This window comes from Homo sapiens, chromosome 12 (assembly GCF_000001405.40).
Source record: "Homo sapiens chromosome 12, GRCh38.p14 Primary Assembly".
Taxonomy (NCBI): domain Eukaryota; kingdom Metazoa; phylum Chordata; class Mammalia; order Primates; family Hominidae; genus Homo; species Homo sapiens.
This window is the reverse complement of record NC_000012.12, coordinates 55,890,705-55,901,412: the sequence shown is the minus strand read 5'-3', so window position 1 is coordinate 55,901,412 and position 10,708 is coordinate 55,890,705. Positions and strand designations below refer to the sequence as shown.

The 10,708-nt window shown below is 43.8% G+C and overlaps 1 pseudogene; it reads right to left on the bottom strand.

Annotated features, from left to right (window-relative positions):
• Nucleotides 713-1,113, bottom strand: GSTP1P1 (glutathione S-transferase pi 1 pseudogene 1; annotated as a pseudogene).

Sequence of the window (10,708 nt, the reverse complement as noted above, 5' to 3'; positions counted from 1 at the left end):
TGGCTTTGCCTCCTTATTTTCAGCTCCTAGTAGATATTGTATCTCCTGAGTTTGGCACAGGAAGACAAGTATTGGGAGTGATTTCTTTTCTTTTCGAGACAGAGTTTTGTGCTGTTGCCCAGGTTGGAGTGCAGTGACGTAATCTGGGCTCACTGCAAACTCTGTCTCCTGAGTTCACGCAGTTCTCCTGCCTCAGCCTCCCTCCCGAGTAGCTGTGATTACAGGTGCCCACCACCACACCTGGCTAATTTTTTAGTAGAGATGGGGTTTCACCATGTTGGCCAGGCTGGTCTTGAACTCCTAATTTCAGGTGATCAACCCACCTTGGCCTCCTAAAGTGCTGGGATTTTAGGCATGAGTTACTGTGCCCAGCCGATATATATTTTTTTCTTTTTCTTTTTTTGTGAGATGGAGTCTCGCTCTGTCTGCCAGGCTGGAGTGTAGTGGCGCGGTTTCAGCTCACTGCAACCTCTGCCTCCCGGGTTCAAGCAATTCTCCTGCCTCAGCCTCCCGAGTAGCTGGGATTATAGGCACCCACCACCACACCCCCTCTAATTTTTGTATTTTTAGTAGAGACAGTTTCAGCATGTTGGCCAGGCTGGTCTCAAACTCCTGACCTCAGGTGATCCACCCAGTTCAGCCTCCCAAAGTGCTAGGATTACAGGTGTGAGCCACCACACCCAGCCCAATATTTCTTTTAATTTTTTTTTTTTCTCTTAGAAACTTCGTTGGTCCTGGAGAAAGGGAGGCAAACGGCCCCTGCCTCCCGCCGAGTGTCCCCCCAGCCCTCACTGTTTCCCGTTGCCATTGATGGGGTGGTTCAGGTGCTCAGTGGAGGCCAGGAAGGCCTTGAGCTTGGGCCGGACGCTGAGGTGTGCCATGTAGGCCGAGAGCAGGGGGAACACATCCAGGCAGCTGGTGGCCAGGACCTCATGGATCAGCAAGTCCAGCAGGTTGTAGTAAGCGAGGGATATCTGGTCGCCCACAATGAAGGCCTATCCTCCCTGGTTCTGGGACGGCAGGGTCTCAAAAGGCTTCAGTTGCCTGGGGAGTGCCTTCACATAAGTCACCCTTGCCCACCTCGTAGTTGGTATAGATGAGGGTGAGGTATTTATTTATTTACTTTATTTTTGAGACAGAGTTTCCCTCTTGTTGCCCAGGCTGGAGTGCAATGGTGCAATCTCGGCTCACTGCAACCTCCGCCTCCCGGGTTCAAGTGATTCTCCTGCCACAGCCTCCCAAGTAGCTGGGATTACAGGTGCCCACCACCAAGCCTGGCTAATTTTTTGTATTTAGTAGAGACTGGGTTTCACTATGTTGGTCAGGCTGGTCTTGAACTCCTGACCTCAGGTGATCCACCTGCCTTGGCCTCCCAAAGTGGGATTACAGGCGTGAGCCACCGAGCCCAGCCTGAGGTATTTAATTTTTTTTTTTTTGAGATGGAGTTTTGCTCTTGTTGCCCAGGCTGGAGTGCAGTGTCATGATCTCAGTTCACTTCAATGTCCACCTCCTGGGTTCAAGCGATTCTCCTGCCTCAGCCTCCTGAGTAGTTGGGATTACAGGCGTGCACCACCACGCCTGACTAATTATTTTTATTTTTATTTTTATTTTTAGTAGAGATGGGGTTTCACCATGTTGGCCAGGCTGGTCTCGAACTCCTGATCTCAGGTGATCCACCTGTCTCAACCTCCCAAAGTGCTGAGATTACAGGCGTGAGCCACTGCACCCGGCCAGAGGTATTTAATTTTTAAAAATTGTGAGTTTATGACCAAATTAGCAACACTAATTTCTGCATGTTTGCTGAGACTTCAGTAGACGAATTAGTGTTATAATCAAATGAAACTTAGAACAAATTTAACTTGACATGTTAATTTATATGTTGCCATTAGTGTGCTGAATAGCAACGGGAGTTCTGTACCTTCCTTACTGTTTCTGAAGATAATCTTATTTCACAGCTGCACCTAGGACAACTCTTTTGAAATTTCACCTTCTTAGATGCCACCCCAAGATGGCATTGTGGGGCAAATTAGTGATACATGTAGAGGAACTTACACCCAAAAGATCTGTCACTTAATTTTTACATGTCCTCTGGTTTCCATACCCTCATTTATCGCAGCCTTTTTCTCTAGCTAGCTGTGGGGGTGGAGATGAAAGGAGTGGGAAGTCAGCTGTAATGAACTATCTCAAGAGTTCAGAGTTCTTAGCCTGACTCATAAGCTCACATATAATCTGGCCCTACTTAACTCCAGCGTCATGTCTTTCCATTCTCCAACTCTGATCAAACTCATTGCTGCAGCTATACTGAACTTCTTTCAGTTCTTCAGATGAACCATATTCTGTCTGAGTCTCAGTCCTTTGCCTCTGCTTGTCCCTCTGCCTAGAACACTTCCTGACCCCCTAATGAACTTTTTTTTTAATTGATAGAAACGGGGTTTCACTATGTTACCTAGGGTGGTCTCCTGAGCTAAAGCCACCTGCCTGCTTCAGCCTCTCAAAGTGCTAGGATTACAGGCGTGAGCCACCGAGCCTGGCCCCTAATGAACTTTTTCTTAGCCTTTGGCTCTCTTAAATGTTATTCTCTCTGGGAAGCCTTCCTTTATTCATATATACACACACACACATACATATATATACACATACATATATATGTGTGTGTATATATATATACTATATATAGTGTGTATATATATGCACATATATATGTATATATACACACACACAAATAATATGTGTATATATAAATATATATATATATATATATATTTTTTTTTAGATGGAGTCTTGCTCTATTGCCCAGGCTAGAGTGCAGTGGTGCAATCTTGACTCACTGCAACCTTCGCCTCCCAGGTTCAAGCAATTCTCCTGCCTCAGCCTCCTGAGTAGCTGGGGTAACAGGCACCCAATACCATGCTCAGCTAATTTTTGTATTTGTAGTAAGAGACGAGGTTTCACCATGTTGGACAGGCTGGTCTTGAAGTCTTTTTTTTTTGAGATGGAGTCTCACCCTGTCACCCAGGCTGGAGTGCAGTGGCATGATCCTGGCTCACTGCAACCTCTGCCTCACAGGTTCAAGTGATTCTCCTGTCTCGGCCTCCTGAGTAGCTGGGATTACAGGCGTGTGCCACCACACCGGGCTAATTTTTGTATTTTTAGTAGAGACGGGGTTTCATCATGTTGGCCAGGCTGGTCTCGAACTCCTGACCTCAGGTGATCCGCCTGCCTTGTACTCTCAAATGTTAATTTATGCACCTTTATTTGCTTCCTTTTTAACTCCAAACTTACTTTTTTTTTTTTTTGAGACAGTCTTGCTCTGTCACCCAGGCTGGAGTGCAGTGGCGCGACCTCGGCTCACTGCAGCCTCTGCCTCCTGGGTTCAAGTGATTCTCCTGCCTCAGCCTCCCAAGTAGCTGGGACTACAGGCTCACGCCACCACACCCAGCCTTCTTCTTTTTTTTTTTTTTATTTTTTTTTTTGAGATGGAGTTTTGCTGTTGTTGCCCAGGCTGGAGTGCAATGGTGTGATCTCAGATCACTGCAAACTCTGCCTCCCAGGTTCAAGTGATTCTCCTGCCTCAGCCTCCCAAGTAGCTGGGATTACAGGTGTGTGCCACCATGTCTGGCTAATTTTGTATTTTTAGTAGAGACAGAGTTTCACCATGTTGGTCAGGCTGGTCTTGAATTCCTGACATCAAGCGATCCACCAGCCTTGGCATCTCAAAGTGCTGGGATTACAGGCGTGAGCCACCATTCCTGGCTTCTTTTTTTTTTTTTTTTTTTTCAGATGAAGTCTCACTCTTGTCATCAGGCTGGAGTGCAGTGGCGTGATCTCAGCTCACTGTCACCTCCACCTTCCAGGTCCAAGCGATTCTCCTATATCAGCCTCCTGAGTAGCTGGGATTATAGGCGTGCACCACCATGCTTGGCTAATTTTTTTTTTTTTTAATTTTTAGTAGATACAGGTTTTACCATATTTGCTAGGCTGGGTTTGAACTCCTGACCTCAAGTGAGTGCCCGCCTCAGCCTTCCAAAGTGCTGGGATTACAGGCGTGAGCCACTGCGCCCAGCTCAAACTTAACTTTTGTAGTAGCATTTATTTTTTATTTTTTTCTAAGATAAAGTTTTGCTTTTGTTGCCCAGGCTGGAGCACAATCTCAGCTCACCATGACCTCCGCCTCCCGGCTTCCAGCAATTCTCCTGCCTCAGCCTCCCGAGTAGCTGGAATTATAGGCATGCACCACCACGCCTGGCTGATTTTTGTATTTTTAGTAGAGACAGGGTTTCTCCACGTTGGTCAGGCTGGTCTCAAACTCCCAACCTCAGGTGATCCGCCAGCCTCAGCCCCACAAAGTGCTGGGATTACAGGCGTGAGCCTCTGTGCCCAGCCAGCCCTCCTCCTTATTAAACTATGAACTCCTCAAGCCCTGGGATTGTATTTATCATCATTGCATCCTCAGTCCCTGACATAGTACATTCTCAAATATTTGACTGAATGAGGCTGCAAGTCATGTGCAGAACAGAAGATGGGGGATAATTAGTGCCTCACGCACAGCTGAACAGTTAATGAGTACTTGACTGAGCACCCCAGTCAAGTGTGAGACCAAAAGCAGCCTGAGTTCCCTTTCATAGGATCCCTATAAAATTATAGAGATTTTATATGTGAGATTTAATTGGCTTATACAGAGATGTTTGATGCTTTGTAAATTTAGATATCTTACAGGAATCTATACTTTAAAAACCATTATTGGCCAGGCTCAGTGGCTCATGCCTGTAATCCCAGCACTTTGGGAGGCCGAGGCGGGTGGATAACCTGAGGTCAGGAGTTCGAGACCAGCCTGGCCAATGTGGTGAAACCCCCTCTTTACTAGGAAATACAAAAATTAGCCAGGTGTGGTGACACGCGCCTGTAATCCCAGCTACCCGGGAGACTGAGGGAGGAGAATTGCTTGAACTGGGAAGCAGAGCTTGCAGTAAGCCAAGTTCATGCCACTGCACTCCAGCCTGGGCAACAGAGCGAGAATCTGTCTCAAAAAAAAAAAAAAGTTAACTGTAAAACAGCCTCAGGAAGATCCTTCAGGAGATATTCTAGAAGGAGGCATTGTTATAGGAGATGACAGCACCATGTGTGTTATTGCCCCAGAAAACCTTCCAGTGGGACAAAATGTGGTGGTGGAAGACAGTGATATTGATGATCCTGATCCTGTGTAGGCCTAAGCTAATATGTCTGTTAGCTTTTGTTTTTGTTTTTGTGAGGCAGCACCTCTCTGTCATTCAAGCTGGAGTGCAGTGGTGAAAACACAGCTAAGTGCAGCCTTGACTTCTGGGCTCAAGTGATCCTTCTGCCTCAGCCTCCTATGTAGCTGGGACCATAGGCTTACTCCATCATGCTCAGTTAATTTTCTTTTTTTTTTGAGACAGAGTCTTGCTCTGTTGCCCAGGCTGGAGTGCAGTGACACGATCTAGGCTCACTGCAACCTCCACCTCCCGGGTTCAAATGATTCTCCTGCCTCAGCCTCCCCAGTAGCTGGGATTACAGGTGCACCACCATGCCTGGCTAATTTTTGTATTTTTAGTAGATACGGGGTCTCACCATGTTGTCTAGGCTGGTCTCTAACTCCTGACTTCAAGTGATCTGCCTGCATCGGCCTCCCAAAGTGCTGGGATACAGGCATGAGCCACCACTCCCGGCCTTCTTTTTTTGAGACAGGATCTCTGTCACCTAGGCTGGAGTGCAGTGGTACGATAACGGCTTACTGCAGCCTTAAATCCTTGGACTCAGGTGATCCTCCCACTTCAGCGTCCTTAGTAGCTGGGACTACAGGTATGTGCCACCACACTCCGCTAATTTTTTAAATTTTTTTCTAGAGATGGGTTCTGACTATGTTGCTCAGGCTGGTCTCAAACTCCTAGGCTCAAGCAGTCAGCCCACCTCAACTTCCGAAAGTGCTGGGATTACAGGCATGAGCCACTACGCCCAGCTCCCATGTCTTAGGGGTTTTTTTTTTGTTTGTTTGTTTTTGTTTTGTTTTGTTTTTTGAGATGGAGTCTCCCTCTGTCACCCAGGCTGTAGTGCAGTGATGCTATCTTGGCTCACTGCAACCTCTGCCTCCTGAGTTCAAGAAATTCTCCTCCCTCAGCCTCCCTGAGTAGCTGGGACTACGGCGTGTGTCACCACGCCCAATTATGTTTTTTTTTTGTATTTTTAGTGGAGACTAAAAGTTACTAAAACATTACTAAAAGTTACTGCGCCCTGTCCCATGTCTTAGTTTTTAACAAAAAAGTTTATACAATACAAATAAAATAAAAATTTTTTAAATAGAAAAAAGAGTCGGGCGTGGTGGCTCACGCCTTGTAATCCCAGCACTTTGGGAGGCCGAGGCGGGTGGATCACTTGAGATCAGGAGTTCAAGACCAGCCTGGCCAACATGGTGAAACCCGGTCTCTACTAAAAATACAAAAAAATTAGCTGGGCACTGTGGTGTGTGCCTGTAATCCCAGCTACTCAGGAGGCTGAGGCAGGAAAATTGCTTGAACCCAGGAGGCAGAGGTTGCAGTGATCCGAGATCACGCCACTGCACTCCAGCTTGGGTAACAGAGCAAGACACCATCTCAAAATAAATAAGTAAATAAATAAAAATAGAAAAAAGCTTATAGAATAAGGATATAAAGAAATATTTTTGTACGGCTGTACAATGTGTTTCTGTTTTAAGCTAAGTGTTTTTTACAAAAGAGTCAAAAAGTTAACAAAAAATTTAAAAGTTTGTAAAGTAAAAACATCAGTTGGGTGTAGTGGCTCACGCCCGTAATCCCAACACTTTGGGAGGCCGAGGTGGGTTTATCACTTGATGCCAGGAGTTCGAGACCAGCCTGGCCAACAAGGTGAAACTCTGTCTCTACTAAAAAGACAAAAACTTAGCCAGGTGTGGTGGTGTGTGCCTGTAATCCCAGCTTCTCGGGAGGCTGAAGCAGGAGAATCACTTGAACCCGGGAGGTGGAGGTTGCAGTGAGCTGAAATTGCACCACTGCACTCTACTGGGTGACACAGTGAGACTCCATCTCAAAAAAGAAAAAAGAAAAAAAAAAACTTATAGTAAACTAAGGTTAAATTATTATTGAAGAAAAATACTTTCTTATAAATTTAGTGCAGGCTAAGTATACTTTAATAAAGTCTACAGCAGTGTACAATAATGTCCTAGGCCTTCACATTCACTCACTGACTCACCCAGAGCAACTTCTAGTCCTGCAAGCTCCATTCATGGTGTACCATTTTTTACCTTTTATATCCTAATTTTTCTGTACCTTTTCTATGTTTACATGTTTAGATACACAAATAAATTACTATTGTGTTACATTTGCCTACAGTATTCAGTAGATGCTTGTATATGCCATAGGGGTTTGTAGCCTAAGAGCAATAGGCCATACTATATAACCTAGGTGTGTAGGAGGTTATACCATCTAGTATGTAAGTACACTCTATAATGTTTGCACAGTGATGAAAAGGCCTAATGATGCATTTCTCAGAACACATCTCTGTTGCTAAGCAACACATAACTGTACATAATACTATATATATATATAATAAATTTGATAGCCACTGATAACAATCAATTGTGAGAGGCTGAGGTATCACGCATCCTTTCCTTCTTCTGGTTCCTATATTTGGGATGTGTGAGGTAGAAGGATATTATTTTAATTACTTCCCCAATGGGCCCGTGTAGTTTATGGCAAATTAAATTATCCCTTGACTTTCTTTTCTATTTCTAAGGCTATTTATTTAATCTTGCTCTCCGCCTTGCATGTGATTCTCTCATGATGTGCAAATAGCAAGATTCTAGGGATCTGGAAGTGAGTTGTTTTAGGACTGGTCATTTACTTTCATGGGCTCAGAACCTATGTGTTAGTTTATTATTGTCCACTAGGTCGTACTAGGAGGAGCCAATGTTTGCAAGTTACCTTGACCCTAAACTCCAGCTTTTTTTCAGAGTAGCAGATAGGTTTATTTTGTTAGATAATTTTTTCTCCCCAGGCTCCCAATAATTTCAGGAAAGGGTATCTAGATCTTCCTCTCCTTCCCAAATATAACCTAGATGAACAAATTGAGGAGGATAGAAAATCTAAGATGAAGCAGGTACATTTTTTGGTCAATATTGCCACCTCTTAAAGATCAGGAATGCATTCCATTCTCTCCTGGAGATTAAAGAAGATGTTCTATTGCAGTGGAAGGGATAGGGGTTATACCCCAAATGAACAACTGGCTGTGTGGGGTAATATAATTGGCTGAGAGGAGGAGAAAAAGGAAATGTTAAAGGATCTCTTCTTTGGGAAAGCAACAAGTCATAGAATTTGAATAAATGAAAATATTGAATATAAAAACATTTTTCAAGAGCATTCTATAGGCCAGAATAATAGAAAGTTGAATAAATTTTCCTTTCTAGAAACTAAAGGGAAACACAGGTCAATACCCAACCACAATACAAGGTGATAAGTACCCTAATAGGGACATACACAGGGTGCTATGGAAGCAGAGAGTGGACTCTTTTTTTGAGACAGAGTCTTGCTCTTGTCGCCCAGGCTGGAGTGCAGTGGCGCAATCTCAGCTCACTACAACCTCCATCTCCCGGGTTCAAGCGATTCTCCTGCCTCAGCCTCCTGAGTAACTGGGATTACAGGTGTGCACCACCACGCCCAGCTAATTTTTGTACTTTTAGTAGAGATGGGGTTTCATCATGTTGGCCAGGCTGGTCTCGAACTCCTGACCTCAAGTGATCCGCCCACTTCAGCCTCCCAAATTGCTGTGATTACAGGTGTGAGCCACCACGCCCGGCTGAGAGTGGACTCTTCAGTCAGCTATGAAGATGGGGATGGGGAGATGGTGCTCAGGGAAGGCTTCCCAGAGGAGATGACATGGAGGCCAAGGCTGAGTCTGGAAAAATTAATAGTATCTCTCTAACATCCTGAAAATCCACACATTTCTGCTGTACTCAAGTCTCCCTTGGTGTCTTCATTTACTCCTGTGATTTCAATAATTACATCTATGCTAATAATGCCCAATCTTTTTCTAGCCCAGTCATCTCTCTAAAACCATCAGATATCTCCTATTTTGGTGTTGATGCTTAAAATTCAACTTGTCTAAAAACCAAACACTGAAGGAAGCCTGAGGCTATGAGCTTTTATGGTGATCATAATAATTTGTATCAATATTTTTATTACCCAGGTGGATATCTTAGTTACTTCTCATTTGGACTACTACAAACCAGTGGTCCACACTAACTGGTCTTCAACTTAGGTCTCTCCCCACCACCCACTTCCCCAGTATGTCCTAAACACTTTGATTTTCAACAAGATTTACTTCCCTAAAGCCCAATGTTGATGGTACATTTCATTGAACAACCACCTTTAGTAGTTCACTTTGCTCTACCTGGTGGAGACTAAGTTCGTCCATTGAATAATCAAGGCACACTATGTTCTGGTCCTAAATTACTCTTTCAATCTTATACCGTATAATTCCCTTAAGTGCCTTTTACAGACAAACCCACCTACTTACTACTTCCTGAACATAGCTAATGCTTTTCTACCTCAGGGTCTAAGTTTATGCTATTCCTCTTATCTTGCTTGTCACAACACTCTTTTGGAAAGGGAAACGTTTCCTAAGCATAACATTTATATATAACAAAGGCTATATTATATAACAAAGAATTTATATTTTAATATACAAAGAGCTGTTGCAAATCAACAAGAAAAGACAACTACTCCAACAGAAAAACAGGCAAAGTACTTAAAGAGACAATTTCTATTGAGACGGTTGGGTTTAAGTCTACCATAATCTCCCATAGTGTTGTTTGTTTTCTGTTTGTTCCATCCTTTTTTTCTTTTTCTTTTTTTTTTTTTTTGACGGAGTCTTGCTGTGTTGCCCAGGCTGTAGTGCAGTGGCACAAGCATGGCTCACTGCAGCCTCAACCTCCTGGGCTCAAGTGGTCCTCCCTCAGCCTCCTGAGCAGCCGAGACTACAGGCACATGCTACCACGTTTGGCTAATTTTTTGTATTTTCAGTAAAGATGGGGTTTTGCCATGTGGCCTAGACTGGTCTTGAACTCATGGGTTCAAGCAATCTGCCCACGTCAGCCTCACATAGTGTTAGGATTACAGGCATGAGCCACAGTACCCAACTTACTTTTGCTTTCTTCCTCTTTTCCTGCTGTCTTTGGATTATTTTTGATATTTCACATTATCTCCCCTTATATTTCTTATTTTTTTCAGTGGTTACTCTAAGGTTTACCATAGGTATCTTTAATTTATTAGTCTACATTCAAATAATATATAATCATATTTATATATTATAATATATAATCATATTTATATATTATAATACATGATTTTATATGTGTGTGTGTGTGTGTGTGTGTGTATATATATATATATATATATATTTTTTTTTTTTTTTTTTTTAATTTTTTTTTGAGATGGAGTTTCGCTCTTATCGCCCAGGCTGGAGTGCAATGGCATGATCTTGGCTCACTGCAACCTCTGCCTTCTGGGCTCAAGAGATTCTCCTGCCTCAGCCTCCTGAGTAGCTGGGATTACAGGCACCCACCACCACGCCTGGCTAATTTTTTTTTTGTATTTTTAGTAGAGATGGGATTTTGCCGTGCTGGCGAGGCTGATCTCAAACTCCTGACCTCAAGTGATCTGCCCGCCTCGGCCTCCCAAAGTGT